Here is a 19960-nt window from a genome sequence, read left to right as displayed (position 1 = left end):
AGGTTTGTCGCAGAGAAAAGGAATGGAGCCGGGTGCAGCGGCTCATGCCTGTAATCCCAGCACTTTGGGAGGCTGGGGCAGGTGGATCACCTGAGATCAGGAGTTCAAGACCAGCCTGACCAACATGGTGAAAACCCGTCTCTATTAAAGATGTAAAAATTAGCTGGGTATGGCGGTGCACGCCTGTAATCCCAGCTACTCGTGAGGCTGAAGAAGGAGAATCACCTGAACCCAGGAGGCGGAGGTTGCAGTGAGCCAAGATCGCACCACTGTACTTCATGCCGGGCAACAAAAGTGAAACTCCGTCTTGGAAAATAAAAAAAGAAAAAGAAAAGGAATGGAAAGAATCGAAGGTCTAGGGCAGAAGAGAGGAAGAGCACAGAACCTGGGTAAGCGGGAACAACTGGAAGCCCAAGCTATTGACAAGACAACTGTGGGATCGACAAAAAGTTGACAGTTCCTCTTTTTACCCATTTGTTGCAGAGCATCTACCTACACCCATCAATTGGCTCAATTTATTTATCTAATAGTATCTCTCAAGTCTAGTGAGATCTTTTTTGAGGTACTCTTCTCAAATGTTATTGATACCTACTGGGGTTGTGCTTTGCATAATCTTTCTTTTAAACATAGATTTTTTTTTTTTTTTTTTTTTTTTTTTTGAGATGGAGTTTTGCTCTTGTCACCCAGGCTGGAGTGCAATGGCACGATCTCGGCTCACCGCAACCTCCGCCTCCCAGGTTCAAGCAATTCTCCTACCTCAGCCTCCCAAGTAGCTGGGATTACAGACATGTGCCACCATACCCGGCTAAATTTTTTTTGTATTTTTAGTAGAGACAGGGTTTCTCCATGTTGGTCAGGCTGGTCTCAAACTCCCAACCTCAGGTGATCCACCCACCTCAGCCTCCCAAAGTGCTGGGATTACAGGCGTGAGCCACCGCGCCCGGCTTTAAACATAGATTTTTAAAACTTCAATTAGAAAATGGGGAAAAGACATGAACAGCCACTTCACCAAAGATGATATATGGATGGCCAAGAAAAGATGTTCGACATCATTAGCTCTCAGGGAAACACAAATTAAAGCTACAATAAGATACTCCTTCACATCTATCAGAATGGTTAAAATAAAAAATAGGCTGGGTGGGGTGGCTCACGCCTGTAATCCTAACATTTTGGAAGGCCGAGGTGGGTGGATCATCTGAGGTCAGGAGTTTGAGACCAGCCTGGCCATCATGGCAAAACCCCATCTTTACTAGAAATACAAAAAAAAATTAGCCAGGTGTGGTGATGGGTGCCCATAGTCCCAGCTACTCAGGAAGCTGAGGCAGGAGAATGGCTTGAGCCTGGGGCAGGGCCGAAGTTGCAGTGAGCTGAGAAAGCGCCACTGAACACCAGCCTGGGTGATAGAGCGAGACCCCATCGAAAAAAAAAAAAAGAAAGAAAAAAGCCAATTCCAAAAGATTATGAACTATATGATTCTATTTACATATATGAAGTTTATTAGAAATGGAGACCCAATAAGTAGTTTCCAAGGGATAAGGATAGGAGACTGGTGAGAAGAAACTGGGTACAGCTACAAAAAAACAATAGGAGGGATCCATGCTGTAACAGTTCAGCATCTTTACTGTAGTGGTAGATATACAAACCTATATATGTGATAAAACTGCACACAACTGAGTATACACACACACACACACACACACGCAAATGAGTACAGGTAAAACTATGGAAATCTGAGTAAGATTGGTAGATTACATCAATATCAATCCTAGTTATGATATTGTACTACAGTTTTGCTAAATGTTATCACTAGGGGAGACCAGGTAAAGCTACATTGTTTCTTCAGCTGATGTAAATCTACAATTATCACAATTAAAATTCTAACTAGCAAATAGATCAATAAAAAACATTTTCAACTTTAGCCATTTCAAAATAACAATGAATGTTACCTTCTTTCTTCTTTGAAACAGGACCACTCTTTTTTCTACACCACTTCTTATGATATAGCTTCCATTAAATACATTGTGAAAAACTATTAAATTTAAGCTTACGCATGAAAGAAGCCTTACAAAAGAGCAGAGATTATGAGACTTCATTTACACGAAGCCCTAGAACAGGCAAATCGAATGGACAATGGGGAAGAAAAACAAAACAAAACAACACAAAACAGGTTGCCCTTGGAGGTGGTAAGGCAGTGGTTGACGGGATGGAGCAAGAAAAAACTAGCTAGGTGATGGCAATGTTCCATATTATGATAGGAGTCCCAGGGACACAAGGATATGCATGTGTCAAAACTCAAGGAATGCACTGGCTGGGGCGGTGGCTCACGCCCGTAATCCCAGCACTTTGGGAGGCCAAGGCAGGTGGATCACCTGAGGTCAGGGGTTCGAGACCAGCCTGGCCAACATCGTGAAACCCCACTGTACTAAAAATACAAAAAATTAGCCAGGTGTAGTGATGGGTGCCTGTAATCCCAGCTACTCAGGAGACTGAGGCAGGAGAATCGCTTGAGCCCGGGAGGCAGAAGTTGCAGTGAGCCAAGATCGCGCCATTGTACTCCAGCCTGGGCAACAAGAGCAAAACTCCATCTCAAAAAACAAACAAACAAAAACAAAACACACATACACACACAAATACACCAATAAGATATTTGTACTTCATTGTATGTAAATCTCATATTTTAAAAACTAAACAAAATTTTAATTCATCTTAAATTACTGACTTTATATCTGGTACATTCTTCCACTTGAAGATGCTATGCCGTAAGATACAATGCTTTGGCTGTATCCAAAGTCACCAAACTAAATCATTTGGGGGAAAAAAATCTCTTATGGGTTCTTCTCAGGGAAAGGAAATTCAACAGAGTAACCATGAAGCAAATTCATATAAAAAGTATCATTAAATCAAACTAAATTAAATTAAAACAGACGTAATTAGGGCTCTCTGAAAGTAGTTTTGGCTAACACTTTGTTTACATGCAATATAGATGTAGCAACTACTGACCTCAGGCACTTTTAGCTGCTGTTACATTAATTATTACATGTGCTTTTTATATTCCAGCTCAAAATATCCTTTAGAGTCTGACTAACTAAGGTCTTTCTGCCAAGGTTACTTCAAATGAATCTCAGGTCCCACAGAAGAAGGAAAAAAATCCTATGAAATCCACATACTGATACAGATGTAACATTTTTCTTTTCTTAACCATGATTTTATTCTACTTAGAATATGCATTTATTTTCGTAAAATTAAAAGAGAGATGATGGGCTGTTCTCAATTACAATTATACCCAGTAGGCCCAACCTTTTCCACTTAACAGGCTTACACTGCAGACACACGTTTGCTTAATTGGCCACACAAGTCAAGACGCTGATGAAAATTATTTCTTGACCCCACCAACGATTCATAGAGAAGATAACATCAATGTTACAAATTTCTAGGGCCTACTGTTCATTTTGATCCTAAACTGCTCATGCCAGGCTCTATCTCTGTTTTTGTTTTAAAGTATTCTCAGATTGGTGGCTACAGCCTTCCCATCAATAGTCACATCCTTCCCTTCGTGAAATAATTTTCTCCTAGTTTGCTTCTAGATGTTACTACCAGTTTGAATCTTCACCCTTATTCATTCCTTCTCCTGATACTTCAGTACCACAAGCCATCTTCCATAAAATCCAGCACTCCTTGTTGCTACACAACAGGCCAAAGAATGACTTTATTCATGAATAAGTTCCAAACTCTTCTTGTATAAACATTGGTTTAAAAAACAAAAACTGGCCGGGCACAGTGGCTCACACCTGTAATCTCAGCACTTTGGGAGGCCGAGGCAGGCAGACCACGAAGTTAGGAGTTTGAGACCAGCCTGGCCAATATGGTGAAACCCCGTCTCTGCTAAAAACACAAAAATCAGCCAGGCATGGTGGCACGTGCGTATAATCCCAGCCACTCGGGAGGCTGAGGCAGGAGAATCGCTTGAACCCAGGAGATGAGGTTGCAGTGAGCTGAGATTGCACCACTGCACTCCAGCCTGGGCAACAGGGCAAGACTCTGTCTCAAAACAACAACAACAAAAAACTGGCCGGGTGCAGTGGTTCACACCTGTAATCCTAGCATTTTGAGAGGCTGAGGCAGGGGGATCACCTGAGGTCAGGAGTTCGAAACCAGCCTGCCCAACATGGTAAAACCACATCTCTACTAAAAATACAAAAAATTAGCCAGGCATGGTGGCGGTCGCCTGTAATCCCAGCTACTCGGAGGCTGGGGCAGGAGAATCGCTTGAACCCGGGAGGCAGAGGTTGCAGTGAGCCGAGATCGCGCCATTGCACTCCAGCCTGGGCGACGAGAGTGAAACGCCATCTCAAAAAAAAAACAAAAACAAAAAACCCTGTGTAAATCTTGAAGCAATTTGAGCCATTCCTTCCCAACACAAAGTTTATATATGATAAGAATTGGAGTATTCAAATCACACTGTGCCATGGCCACAAACTAGGAGGAGAAACAAAAGAATCTTTTTTTCCCTCTTTCTTTCTCTCTCTCCCCCTCCTCTTTACAAACACCTCTAAATGCCCTTGACTGTAACTACATTTTTGAAAAGCATATGCCCGTTCGCAGGAGGTAAAAGAGTACATTACACCATGAATGTTTATTTTTAAAACTCAGCATTTTTTCAGGGCTGAAAATCTATTCAGAAATCCCTTCCTCCTTAGGCTACCAAGCTTTATTCAGCAAGGGGGCCAACAACTGCTGATATTTCAAGAAATCTAATCTCTTAATGACTAGTGTCAGAGAAAGGAGAAGGCCTGTGAAAGAGTCATCCTTGAAAGACGCTTCATCTCAGGTACATGTGAACCCATCAATGCAGGCACAGTGTCGGGACTGCCACCAGCACCGCCCCAGCTTTCCGGGATCTGTCTGCCCCGGGTGTTCTGTCCCAGAAGATGAACTGTCCCTTCCACCACACACTCAAATTTTACACTCCCAAATCCTCCATCACAGTAAAGATCCTCCGTTTCCAAGGATAAAACCTCAGCTTCTGGGTGCTCCAAACACAGCAAGTCAGTCTAGTGTCTGCTGATGACTAAGGTGAAAATGGAGAGCTGCCGAGTGAGGAGGAGCTCGAGGTGGACAGGGCCACAAGCTGAGGACTACAAGAAGGTTTGAGTATGGGGTTAGATTTTGTCAATGATTACAAATGTGAAACACTAAATGGGGGAAGGAGGGCAACCTGGAGAGAGAGAATACTTTGTGCAAAGTAAAAACTGAAAACTAATACATTGTGTGCAAGAGATCGCAAACCAAGTCACTTGGCTTTAGCAGAGATTCTCAAGAACAATGGCACTGGCCAAGAGTATAATAAAATAGAGGGGAGGACAAGGTTTAGGGAGATGTTCATTTATCCATTAACCCATTAATTATGTCTTGAGCATCAACTCTGCACATGCTGCAGTTCTAAGATGCTACAGAAAAAAAATGAGAAAAAAACAGAATCTTCTTTTTCAAAGGGAATCTAGCACTCAGATAAAGAACTGATTCAAGGCCGGGTGTGGTGGCTCACGCCTGTAATCCCAGCACTTTGGGAGGTTGAGGCGGGTGGGTCACTTGAGGTCAGGAGTTCCAGACCTGCCTGGCCAACATGGAGAAACCTTGTCTCTACTAAAAATACAAAAATTGGCCAGGCATGATGGCGGGTGCTTGTAATCCCAGTTACTCAGAAGGCTTAGGCGGGAGACTCACTTGAACCCAGGAGGTGGAGGCTGCAGTGAGCCGAGATAGCGCTGTTGTACTCCAGCCTGGGTGACAGAGCAAGACTCTGTCTCAAAAAAAAAAAAAAGAATTGATTCAAAAAATATTCTGAACATAAATTATATCATCGTAATTTCTTCTGAAAAACCACAATAGAGTTTTTCAATTCTTTAAGTTAGAAAATCTGATCAAATGTAGGTGGATTGAGGAAATCTCCTCCCTCCCCACTGAAGCTCTTTATCTCGTTACTGGCAAGTTAGGTATTGCATGAGAAAGATGTGAATGGAAACATCAAGACCCACTTGGTAGAAAAGAAATAGATTTTTTTGCTCTTTTCTGTGTGTTTATGAACAATTACTTTCCTTAAAAATTAAGTATAGCAGCCAGGCATGGTGGCTCATGCCTGTAATCCCAGGATTTGGGGAGGCCAAGACAGGTGAACCACCTGAAGTCAGGAATTGGAGACCAGCCTGCCCAACATGGTGAAACCCCGTCTCTACGAAAAATACAAAAATTAGCCGGGCGCCTGTAATCCCAGCTACTCAGGAGGCTGAGGCAGGAGAATCACTTGAACCAGGCAGGCCAAGGTTGCAGTGAGCCGAGAACGCACCATTGCACTCCAGCCTGGGTGACAAGAGCTAAACTCTGTCACACACACACACACACACACACACACACACACACACACAAATTAAGTATAGCTCAACAAACAGCTCAGACACAAGGTGCACTACTAGAGGGTTGCCCTTCAGCCTCAGGAAGCCAGGACAGATTGAGCATTGTTCTCTGCCTTACCGGAGTATGCAGACCCAACCAAAACCATGCCAACGCTGGAGTCCATCATTAAGTCCGACCTGGGGAAAAGTCTTAAGGAAAGAAAAGGTTCAAGGACTGGAGAGAGAATGAGCAGGGAAGGCAGCGAGGTTTTCCTGCTGGAAAACAAGCACATATAGCCCTCTTGGGTGTTGTTTTTATTTTTATGTTACAATGGATTTTTTTTTTTTTTTGAGACGGAGTCTCGCTCTGTTGCCCGGGCTGGAGTGCAGTGGCGCGATCTCGGCTCGCGCCCAGCCACAATGGATTATTTTTCTTCCAGAAATGTCCTCTGCTTTTGGCAAGTAAATCACTTAGATAGGATATAAGAAGGATGAAGGTGACTGGAATCAAAGAAGTCAGTGTATTGCCCATCCCTGTCTAGTTGGTAGCAGTGCGAAAGCCAATGAGGTAACACCCCACACAGTGCAGATGCCCAATGTGTCCCTGTCCCTCGCTCTCACTCGTTCAACAGGGCTATTCATGTAGAAAGCAGGACTTACGGCCAGGCACAGTGTCTCACACCTGTAATCCCAGCACTTTGGGAGGCCAAGGCGATGGATCACGAGGTCAGGAGTTCGAGACCAGCCTGGCCAACATGGTGAAACTTGTCTCTACTAAAGATACAAAAAAAATTAGCCAGGCGTGGTGGCGGGCGCCTGTAATCCCAGCTACTTAGGAGGTTGCAGTGAGCCGAGATCAGGCCACTGCACTCCAGCCTGGGCAACAGGACAAGACTCCGTCTCAAAAAAAAAAAAAAAAAGCAGGACTTATGCCTGGACCTATTGTTTGGCTTGAGGTTTAAGGGAAAAGATCACATAGCACCATCATCTCATTTCACAAGAAGTCACTGAAGTCAGAGAGGTTAAAACGACTTGCCCAAGACAGACGATGGCAAGGCCAAATTTTGTATGGGGAATGGTCTCTGAGGTCTTCCTCCAGTGGGACAGGTCAGCTCTAAGATCGACAAGTTCAGTCAGGTGGGACTTACCCGGATGGCATTCAGAGTGGAGAATTTACAATTGCCCTATGCAGCATTCCCATTGTACAGACGAGGCAACGAAGGTACAGAAAGGTTAAGTGATTCACAAGGACAAGGGCTGAACTTTGGAAGTTTGACCTTAGAGTGTGAACTTGGGTCACAGTGTTTTCATCATAGATTCTCTAAGCTCTATTTCGACACGAGAATCAGTAGTGATAAAGGAAGCTCCTTGTTGGTCTTAAAAGGTCTCCTGCTCATTTTACATTGTCATTTCAAATAGATAGTATTACACCTACACACACACACACACACACACACACACACAATGTATACTATATCATGTTTATTTGCCACAATCTACAGAACAGAGGCAGAGTGACTCTCCAAAACTCACTCCCCAAATGAGCTACTTTTGTTAGGTTTCAGCGGATGGTTTGCTATGCTATTCATCTAGTTAGTAATTCAGTGTTCCTACAATTCACTTTTAGGTATAAAGTACTGCATATTCTACCCAGAATATCTTCATTCAGCCCCAGACATTCACTGACTATCCAATAACAAAGAATACTTTGGAAATAACTGATATGTTCAAGAGTAACAAGTGATGGTCACTGTTACAGAATTTTGAACTTATAAAGCATGACACAAAATGAAAGACATCAGAAATAGGCAATAATTTCAGATATTTATTGACTTGCACCCTGGAAAGGATTTAGGGATAGAGTAGGAGATGGAGGGAAATACCAAGACAGAACAGGAAGAAAATAAGAAATGCAAATATAGGCAAGAAACAGAAATATATAAATGACATATTATATGCTATCCCACCACATGTTACAAATTGAGAAAGCATAAAAACTCTGGAGACTGTTTTCCCCCTAACCTTTGAAAACTGGGCAAACAGGAAAAAGGGGAGAGATGTCTATCCAGCATAAGATTCTAATTTCTAATATGTGTGCCTTTAGAATCAAAAAAAAAAAAAAAAAAAAAAAAGGCCAGGCGCGGTGGCTCACACCTGTAATCTCAGCACTGTGGGAGGCCAAGGCAGGTGGATCACAAGGTCAGGAGTTCAAGACCAGCCTGGCCAAAATGGTGAAACCTCGCCTCTACTAAATATACAAAAATTAGCCGGGCGTGGTGGCGGGCACCTGTAATCCCAGCTACTCGGGAGGCTGAGGCAGGAGAATCGCTTGAACCTGGGAGGTGGAGGTTACGGTGAGCTGATATCGTGCCACTGCACTCCAGCCTGGGTTACAGAGTGAGATTCCATCAAAAAAAAAAAAAAAAAAGCCGGGGAGGAGGATTGTCTGAGCCAGGCAGTTGAGGCTGCAATGAGCTGTGATTGTGCCACCGCACTCCAGCCTGGGTGACAGAGTGAGACTCTGTCTCAGAAACAAACAAACAAAAAAAAGTGGAGGCAGCAAGGGAAAGTTAAATAGTTTTCATTTCATTTCTATTATGTAGCACATAAAAGGTGGATCCAGGGCTAAAATGCACCAGTACCTAAAGGATCTACTCAATTCACCAACCTGGGTAGTGCCACTTCTAGTTCAAAGGTTCTCCCAATCAAGATATGGAAGAAACATGTCCCTCTGTACTATGTGTCAAGCACAGTTTCATCATTTCAGACTGCAAATGTTTGAGCCAACAACTGAGCATCACTGCTGAAAAGTTCTTTCTAGGCAGCACCTTTTTTGGTAAGAAAAATCTCAGCAGTTCGTAAGTGACTTTAACTTGCCATACTGTATTTTAAAGACGTATCTGAACAATTAAAAACACTGTATTGCAAATTGAAATTTCTCTTGCCTAGTTGCAAATTTTATTGCCACAAATGGGGTCCCTAAGAAGCACTGTCAACTTTATTGGCGACTTGTTGCTCCCTGATTGTGAGTCATCCTCAATAAAGTAATTCAGGGATCATCTCCTCAGTGGAGGAAAAAGGAACACGGGCAGAAACAACACAATGGGGTGAGAGGAAAATCCCAGAAGGAAAAAAACCAGAAACATAATATGAGCAGGGTAAAAGAGTATGTCCTTTAAGTCAAAGAAAAAGAATCACTGAGCAATGCAGTGAGAGATTTACTTATTTATTTATTAATTTTTATTTATGTATTTACTTATTTATTTTTTAAGACAGGGTCTCTCTGGCGCCCAGGCTGGAGTGCAATAGTGTGAGCACGGCTCGCTGCAGCCTCAACCTCCTGGACTCAAGCAATGTTCCCACCTCAGCCTCCTGAGTAGGTGGAACTAGAGGCACGTGCCACCAGGCTCAACTAATTTTAATGTTTTTTTCTTTTATTTTCTTTTTTGAGATGGAGTTTCACTCTTGTTGCCCAGGCTAGAGTGCAATGGCATGATCTCAGCTCACTGCAACCTCTGCCTCCTGGGTTCAAGCAATTCTCCTGCCTCAGCCTCCCGAGTAGCTGGGATGACAGGCATATACCACCATGCCATGAGAATTTTGTATTTTTAGTAGAGACGGGGTTTCTCCATGTTGGTCAGGCTGGTCTTGAACTCCTGACCTCAGGTCATCTTCCCGCCTTGGCCTCCCAAAATGCTGGCTGGGATTACAGGCGTGAGCCACTGTGCCTGGCCATTTTAAAAGTTTTAATAGAGACAAGGTCTCACTATGTTGCCCAGGCTGGTCCAGAACTCCTGGGCTCAAGCCATCCTCCTACCTCAGCCTCTAAAGTGCTGAAACTACAGGTGTGAGCCCCTGCACCCAGCAAAATAATTATTTAAAAAGGAGAAGATGAAGGAGACTACCACAGTAGGCAAGAAATGCCCTGTTCTCTAAGTAGAGCTCTCTGGGAGGAAACCCACAGCTCCCAGGCTGGCCCCAAGTGGGGTGAGGTATACATAAAATTGAAAGCCTTCCAAATATGAACAGACCTAAAACAAGAATAACTTTTTGAAGTTTTGTAATTCCTATATTAATATGAACCACGTCACAAAAATAGGTAGAACAGAGAGGAAGATATCCTTATTAAAGTATTTTAATAAAGGTTAGATGTTCTAATTATAAAAGATTTGCTTGCTCATTGTGGAAAACTGAGGAAAGAGAATGTAAAAAGAAAACAATTTTAAATGCTCATAATCTGGCGTGGCAGCTCACGCCTGTAGTCCCAGCACTTCGGGAGGCCAAGGCGGGTGGATCACTTGAGGTCAGGAGTTTGAGACCAGCCTGGCCAATATGGTGAAATCCTGTCTGTACTAAAAATACAAAAATTAGCCGGGTGTGGTGGTGGGCACCTGTAATCCCAGCTACTCAGGAGGCTGAGGCAGGAGAATCACTTGAACCCAGGAGGCAGAGGCTGCAGTGAGCTGAGATCGCACCACTGCACTCCAGCCTGGGTGACAGAGCAAGATTCTGTCCCCCAAAAAATTAAAAATAAAAGTAACTGTTCATAATCCATATTCAACTACTATAAACTCTCTGGCATGGTTCCTTCTAAACACTCGACAGTGTACTTTTGCATAGATAATATTGCACATGCAGTCTTGTATTTTCCTTTTACATTTTCAAATGTAAATTAAATTTAAATTTAAATGTAAAACACTGCCTAAACAGTTGTAATGTTGAATATTATTTTCTCATGCACTTTCATGTATATAATTATTTCTCCATTAGATGATAGGAATGTTGCCTCCCCCCATTTAAAAATCTTTTTGTATATAGATTTCATGTGTCAATGATAAAAGAACAGAAATAGGTAAATCTTTTGTGATATACAAGATGTACATTACTAAAAAAGAAATGTGAAATATAAAAATGGGACCCAATCATTTCAGTAAGTTTTATTACTAATATTAATCATGTTAATAGATAATTAACGTTAACTTTGACCCTTTAAATTCTGTGTTTTATATTCTCATGGATCCCAGACTGCATCATGCCTTTAATAGTGCTCTTTAGAGAGAATGATTTTTCTTTCTAAAACACATCTAAGTATGCTTTGTTGAGTAGTTTCACTGTAAAAGCAAATACAAGTGGGAGGATAAAAAGAAAAACAATTTCAAAGGAAGGAAGGAGAGAAGGAAGAGAAAAGAAAGGAGGAAGAAATTTCGTTAACCATATTCTAAGGCCTATACCACCATTAGTAAACTGTAGATATATTTTAATTCATTTCTCATACTTCTCCTTGAAAAGCATATCTTCCCATGTTAAGCGGAACAAGAACTCAAGTTCAGATTTAATAGAGTGCAGAGGGGAAGGCTGAGAGTGGGTGCAAGAGTTCACGAAAAAAGCTGGAGAGAGGATGGAGGGCCAAGCATCCAGTTTATGAGAGAGGAAAGGGGCTGCAGGATCACGCTCCTTTTGTAACATCCCCCTGCGTTTCTGGTCCTCAACTCCAAGTCTGCAGGGTGCGACCAGCCCCAGAGCCAGCAGAGCTGAGATAGACACCCCTCCTGGTTTAGCTCTGCTGCGCACACCATCCCAAGACCTGTGGGGTCAGGCCATGCGGGCAGCTCAGCAGCCACAAGGTCATGGCTGGGTTTGGCATGAAATGCTCACACTCGGAGTGAAAATAGGCCTCTGAAGAAGGATGAAGCAACAGCCAAGAAAGAACCACTTTGCAAACAGACTTCCGAGGAGAATGAGCCTCTTGAAATCCTCTGTGCAAAAGTTCACACCATAAAACAGCTGCTGCTTAATGTCTCCGGCTTCTAATGAGCCCCGAGCTCCCGGTTTGCACAGAACTTCCTGGCGAATGGTGTCCAAGGTCCTTTGCTCTTCCCCGCGCCGTTCAATCCCGTAAGTGCTCTTGGTCAAAAACTAGGTCATAAACTTATCCACTGAGAAGCGTTTACTGTTGTTTCAAATGGCGTATTCTGTTCAAGAGGTTATGATAACAAAAGAAGAGCAGCAAACAGGCTTTCAAGTTGGGGCATGTGGTTGCCAGGTTAAAAAACTGGCTCCTTACCTTATCTTAGTTCAGCTCTTTTAGATTCAAACTACTGGACTCTGGCCATTTTCTGGACTGATACAAATCATTTCTAGAATGACTAGATCAAATTTTATTTACTCTGTTTCCAGCTTTGAACTAACAGTTCCAAGCCAAAAAAAAAAAAAAAAGTTGCTGTTTCAGAAAGTATTGGCAAGATTCTCCCACTACCAAAGTTTACAGCATGGTTATACCCTGCCCCAGGAAGAAGGATGTGGCGGGATGGGGGTAAGGGAGGGAGAGAAATGGAGGAGGGCAGCTGTTTGTTCAATAAACTGCAGCAGAAAACCGCCCACATCCCATACTGTTTCTTCCACACCCCCAGCAGAGAAGCAGGAGGTGGCAGCATGAGAAGTCATTCCTCCAAGGCGAATCGTGCTGGCTGGCTGGCTTTCTGCACTCCCACATAACTGACCACGGTCCTTTCTGATTCACCCATGGAGCACAAGGACAGAAGCCAAAGGGTTTGTCTCTGCTTCCTGGGATGTTGATTCCTGCCCTGATGGAGCCCAGGAGATTTACGCCTCCTCCCCACCCATCCTCACCCTCACGTCCAACTACCCCACCCTCCTTCCCCAGTGTTTCTGAGCTCTAAGGCACACAGGGCTGCATTACAAAAGTACTCAACTAAAAGGTGTATATTTTGCATCCCACACCTTCCAAGAATATGCTGAAACTCCTCTCCACAAAAAGACACAGCTGTGGTCAACAGTCCCTAGGCTCCCCAAAACAGCATGTCCTCCACACTCAGCAACCAGGCCTCTGCTTTCTCTTCTGGAGTGGGAAGGAAGGAAAGGAATATGAGAAGGCAGGGTAGAAGAGCTGTAGCCCACCCCTACTCAGCCGGCTGGAAAGCTCCAATTTGTTAACCTAGAAAACCCTGGGGCATTGCAATCAAAGAGTGGCTCCACCCAAGCAAATAACTCGGATTATTTTTTTCCCTACTAGTGGGCAAGAAGAGAAAAGGGAAAATAAGGACAAATGTGTTCAAAACAGAAATACTGCATAACACTAACTTGGCTTTGGGCAAGGACCAGATTATAGGCCCAACACCTCCATTTCTGTCCAAGTGGAAAGAGAAACTACAGGGTGCAACCTTAATCCAGCTGCATGAACTCTGTTGCCCAGAGACTCTGCCAGCCCAAGAAGATCAACATAACCCCAAATTGCTCCTCAGTCCCCAGCTGGCCTTTTTTTTTTTAGACAGTTTCACTCTTGTTGCCCAGGCTGGTGTGCAATGGCATGATCTTGGCTTATTGCAACCTCCACCTCCCAGAATCCCAGATTCAAGCTATTCTCCAGCCTCAGCCTCCCAAATAGCTGGGATTACAGGCATGCACCACCATGCCCAGATAATTTTGTATTTTTAGTAGAGATGGGGTTTCACCATGTTGGTCAGTCTGGTCTCGAACTCCTGACCTCAGGTGATCCGCCTGCCTTGGCCTCCCAAAGTGCTGGGATTACAGGTGTGAACTAGGCATGTGGCCTAGTTCTTCAGGGTTTTTAAAGTTCTTTTTGGTAAACTGATTCTTTGTAATATACTGGTCTTAATTATAATTACCGTGGAAAGATCATTTAGCTTCAAAACTCAATGTGAGGTGGTTCTGTGTTAGAGTAGACTCTGCATGTGCATGAATTTTTCTCCTAAAAAGCCTCTCAACCCTTTCTCAAATGACTAAACTGTGACCAAAGAATGGGAACTGATATTGATGTCACAGTTCGGTTAATTGTTAAAAATAAATAAATCCAGGTTTTAGGTAATAAAACCTAAGACCAATAATTCATCTAAGACCAATGCTACAACATGTTGTCCTTTGCCAACTCTAAACGGGAAATACAAGCTGGCACAAGATGGGCACTAATCAAAGTCCTTACGTATCTCTAAACACAGGTTCAATATGACCTAACTCACATTAATTGCCTTGAAGGCTCATCTGAATTCCATGATTTAAATTTAAAAAAAAAAAAAAAAGTTGAATTGTTTTGAAAGGCGTAGAATGCCAAAAGTTGTTTACAGTTTTCGTCAGGTAAAAAGATATAACTGGCCAGGCGTGGTGGCTCACGCCTGTAATCCCACCACTTTGGGAGGCTGAGGCAGGTGGATCATCTGAGGTCAGGAGTTCAAGATCAGCCTGTCCAATATGATGAAACCCCATCTCTACTAAAAATACAAGAATTAGCTGGACGTGGTGGCATGCTCCTATCATCCCAGCTACTCAGGAGGCTGAAACAGGAGAATCACTTGAACCCAGGAGACAGAGGTTGCAGTGAGCCGAGATTGCACCACTGCACTCCAGGTGCAACTCCTGAGCAACAAGAGTGAAACTCCATCTAAAAAAAAGTTTTTTTAAAAAGGCCGGGCACAGTGGCTCACGCCTGTAATCCCAGCACTCTGGGAGGCCAAGGCGGGCGGATCACCCAAGGTTGAGAGTTCGCGACCAGCCTGACCAACATGTAGAAACCCCGTCTCTACTAAAAAATACAAAATTAGCCGGGCGTGGTGGCGTATGCCTGTAATCCCAGCTACTCGGGAGGCTGAGGCAGGAGAATCGCTTGAACCCGGGAGGCAGAGGTTTCAGTGAGCTGAGAACGTGCCATTACACTCCAGCCTGGGCAACAAGAGCGAAACTCCGTCTAAAAAAATTATATAAATATATATATATATATATAACATAGCCATCGTTAGTATAAAAATTGTACTTTTTATTTTAATTTTTTTCAGACTGAGTTTCACTCTTATTGCCCAGGCTGGAGTGCAATGGCACGATCTCGGCTCACTGCAACCTCCGCCTCCCGGGTTATAGCAATTCTCCTGCCTCAGCCTCCCGAGTAGCTGGGATTACAGGTATGTGCCACTACGCCAGGCTAATTTTGTATTTTTAGTAGAGACAGGGTTTCTCCATGTTGGTCAGGCTGGTCTCGAACTCCCGACCTCGGGTGATCTGCCCGTCTCGGCCTCCCAAAGTGCTGGGATTGTAGGCGTGAGCCACCGCGCCTGGCCAAAAATTGTACTTTTTTTGTTGGGGGACAGAGTCTCACTCTGTCTCCCGGGCTAGAGGACAGTAGCGCGATCTCAGGTCACTGCAAGCTCCACCTCTAACCAAGTTGTGGGAAACAGGAAATGTATTGACATTAATTGCCTTGTAGGCCCATCTGAATTCTTTGAGATTCCTCTCTTCCCCTCCCTGCTCTTGGCTTGCTCAGTGTTCTTTTACCTCCATCGTCACTGTGTAAGGAATTATTGGCAACTAGGCAAGAATGTCTATGAGCCTAATTTGAACTCTGCTGTCTTTCCGCAAAGAAACCAGAATCTGAAACTCTTACATCTCAGTGAGCCCCCAGAACAACCAGGAAAAATGAACTCCCAAAGGGGGAAAAATACCCATAGATTCAAAAAGAGATGAGTATACGGTGTGTTTCCAGGTCTAGCTCCACATGGCCTTTATACGCCAAGTACCACGGGATTAATGCTTGGAATGCTCAACATTGGTTATGCATAGGATTAGATTTATAAATATAAATGAGTAATACTTTCAGCTTATCTTTTCTAAAAAGTACTGACATAGCTGTAACAGCCTTAGCCACCAATAAGAAACTGCCTGTTAAAGTGAATATTCTTGCTAGTTTAAAATAGTAGCTCACTCTGCCTGACAAAACCATTTACAACATCTATAATATCTACGTATTCAAACTGCCACAATCATATAATTCATCAACTGAGAATTACCACATATTCTACCAGCATGCGGAGAACCTTTTAAGTATCTGGAAGGACCTAATGAAATGTACATCCTAACCCCAGAAAAGATGTAACTTCTTCTATGAACAATGTTCCACTCAAAATACTTTGAGAGGGGCTGGGCACAGTGGCTCACGCCTGTAATCCCAGCACTTTGGGAGGCTGAGGCAGGGGGGATCAACTGAGGTTAGGAGTTCGAGACCAGGCTGGCCAACACAGTGAAACTCCATCTTTACTAAAAATACAAACATATTAGCCAGGCGTGGTGGCACGTATCTGTAATCCCAGCTACTTGGGACGCTGAGGCAGGAGAATCACTTGAACCTGGCAAGTGGAGGCTGCAGTGAGCTGAGGTTGTACCACTGCACTCCAGCCTGGATGACAAGAGCAAAACTCTGTCTCAAAAAAAACAAAACAAACAAACAAACAAAAAACAACTTTGGAAGGGAAAAATAAAATGAAACACAAGTTCTACAGACACAAAGTTAAATGTGATCATTCAAGGTCCACCCGGCACATGTTCCTTGTATGTGCCATGCTTTTGGTTGGCCATGGCTCACAGTTATCTAAGAATTTACTATATTCAAATGTAGTTTTATGTTTGCCCAAAAAGTACAGCTACGTGTTTTCACTTTCCAGATATACGGCTGTCCTCCACTCCCTTGGGCTTCTCACATGACGAACTTGAAAATAAGTTTCTATGAGACCAACTTGTCCACATCTCTGGGCCTGTTCAGTCAGAGACAGATGTGTAGTGCTCTACAAGAATGGCTACCAAGGCCGGGCGCGGTGGCTCACGCCTGTAATCCCAGCACTTTAGGAGGCCGAGGTGAGCAGATCACCTGAGGTCAGGAGTTCAAGACCAGCCTGGCCAATATAGTGAAACCTCATCTCTACTAAAAATACAAAAAAAAAATTAGCTGGGCATGGTAGCAGGCACCTATAGTCCCAGCTACTTGGGAGACTGAGGCAGGAGAATCACTTGAACCCAGGAGGTTGCAGTGGGCCAAGATCACGCCACTGCACTCCAGCCTGGGCAACACAGTGAGACTCTGTCTCAAAAAAAAAAAAAAATAGCTACCAAAAAAATTTAAAGATTGCTGAGCATGGTAGCACACACTGGTAATCCCAGCTACTCAGGAGGCTGAGGAGGGAAGATCACTTGAGGCCAGAAGGTCAAGGTTGTAGAGTGCCATAATCACACCCGTGAATAGGCACTGCACTCCAGCCTGGGCAACCTAGTGAGACTCCATCTCTCACACACACACACACACACACACACACACACACACAAAGCTAACGGTCTCTAAATTTAAGAAGACACAGAAACAGGTCTGGGCACAGTGGCTCACACCTGTAATCCCAGCACTCTGGGAAGCCGAGGCGGGTGGATCACAAGGTTAGGAGATCGAGACCATCCTGGCTAACACGGTGAAACCCCGTCTCTACTAAAATACAAAAAAAAATTAGCCACACATGGTGGCAGGAGCCTGTAGTCCCAGCTACTCGGGAGGCTGAGGCAGGAGAATGGCGTGAACCCAGGAGGTGGAGCTTGCAGTGAGCCGAGATCGCGCCACTGCACTCCAGCCTGGACAACAGAGCGAGACTCCATCTCAAAAAAAAAAAAAAAAGAAGACACAGAAACAAACATGATTGGAGGAATCTAGGGGGAGAGGCAGAAATGAATGAATATTGGCTTACTAGATCTCCTTTTAACCAAACTCATTAGATTCTCAGGCATAAATGTTGCTTTTTAAAAACCGTGTCAAGGTACATCATGGAACAGCATGTCTCCTATTCCTACCATTTCAGATAAAGTCTGGTCACTCTTTAACTTCTCTACTTGACCAGAATATGTGCTTAGCTCTTAACATTAAAATTAGGAAATCTTAATATTGGCCTATGATATCTCCTCATGTTAAAAAATAAAATAAAAGGAGAATAATCGTACATGAACCAAAAATGCTTACGCTGTAAGAAATACTACCAGGAAATGACAAATTTTAAATCCTTTATAATGTGATTATGGCTACTAGCATGAAAAGGGATTATTCATAACTGAAATAGAAAATTAAGGAGCAAAACTCTTGGTAAGACAAAATACAAACCAGGCTGGCAGCATTTCCCTACCTGAAGAGCACTCATCAGTCATTCTGACTGTCTTGTGATAATGCTTCAGCAAACCCACCAGTGAAATGAGCTTGTTGCCAATTCCTATGAATTTAAAACAGGACAGATATGTCACACTATGCAAAACATGGCATCATGTGATCAGAAAGACATTTAATAATCTGAAGCAGAACAATAAATGTCAGCAAATCCTTTGGAACTCAGTGCTTCTGAGATAGACCCTTTAGGATGTTCCTGAAATAGATTTTATGCACTCAATCAATTTTTGTTTCTTCTGTAGTTTCCATTTGCAAAGGGACCTGGGATGTGCAGATGACATGTGAGTGACATCATGCTTGGACATGACACTAAGGGGAGAAAAGACACATGCAACAGAGAAAAATGCAGCAATGCCTTTTCCAGGGCTTTCCTAGAGAGACCGCCACTGACTGCACCACGTCAAAATGAAAGCTTTTCCCAATGGGAACTTTTATTACTGTTCCTATTAAGAGAACAGAAGGAAAAAAAAAGCAACTTTCTGGTTTTCACAGGAAAAGAATGATTTCCAAATTATGATTTTTGAGAGGGAAAGACTTATTCATGGTAAACATGAAACACATGGTGTTCTCAGAGGGTTTCTGTCCACCCTACACAGTAATATCTCTCATATGAAAGGAACAATTATTAATAGTTAAACACAATACCCCTTAGAATGCACTATATATTTCTGTTTAAAGCCTGAGGTCCCAGAGAGCCTTTAAATAATGATTCCAAAGTGAACTTCCTGCTTCTCACTCTGGAGCAAACAGAGTAGCCACATCCCACATGCTACAAAATGCAGTTGGGTGGACTCAGCTATCAACAGGATATTTGCCCACTGGACCCATTTTCAGAATGTGAAAAGAGAAATTTCAGCCAACTGGGAAGGCCAGTGGCCTCATTAGGAAATACGGGACCTATTCAACCATTGTGGGTTGTTTCCAGTTTTTTATTTGCCCTTGTTGGTGTTTTGCTTTGCTGTTTCATCAGGGTGTGGATCTCAGTGGCTCTTAATCCCAGATGTACAGGAGAATCATCTGGGAGGTTAAAGACAACACCCTTCAATGGGCCACCAGGAGGTTATAATTTGCATCTAGAGTTGAGAACCACTATCCTACCCCCATCTGACTCCAGCCTCACCAATCCAGCCTCCAACTTTCAGCATTGCACTGTATCATTTAGGCTTCTGATGAGAACTGTCAAGCAAAGCTGTCTTTCTTCCTCTTTCTTCACTTTAGAGATTTCCAAGAGGCCCTCAAGAGAGTATCAGTCCATTTTCCATGCAGTGCCAAGGATGCTCTATATTGCTATGTGCAGGCTGTTCCTAAGAATACAGGACGTTCCAGGCCGTATGGGATACGCAGCTCACTCCCACAGGGTCCCTGACTCTCCACCCCACCCCCACCGCTATTCTCATGTATGTCACAGGCTTGTCTTGAGGGAAGGCATGGGATAGAATATCTCAGGAGGTCCTATCCAATTTCCTAGCAATCTGTAACACAGGAAAGAGCGCCCTGCAGTCTGTCACTATGATACAAATGCTTCTCACAAATACCTCAACCATTAGTCTCGCCCTAAACAAACAAACATCATGCTAGG

General features: G+C 43.4%; 1 long non-coding RNA gene across 1 annotated transcript in view; it reads right to left on the bottom strand.

The window, feature by feature from the left end:
* CASC15 (cancer susceptibility 15) overlaps positions 1–19960 on the bottom strand; it is a 529408-nt gene that overhangs the window by 374737 nt on the left and 134711 nt on the right. Inside the window, exon 4 of the long non-coding RNA NR_015410.2 lies at positions 18344–18427. This is a non-coding gene — a long non-coding RNA (cancer susceptibility 15). The remainder of the gene's footprint in view (positions 1–18343; positions 18428–19960) is intronic.

The sequence above is a fragment of the Homo sapiens genome, chromosome 6 (genome assembly GCF_000001405.40).
Source record: "Homo sapiens chromosome 6, GRCh38.p14 Primary Assembly".
NCBI classification, from domain to species: domain Eukaryota; kingdom Metazoa; phylum Chordata; class Mammalia; order Primates; family Hominidae; genus Homo; species Homo sapiens.
Note: the sequence above shows the minus strand (reverse complement) of the source record. Positions and strands in the feature narration are given on the sequence as shown.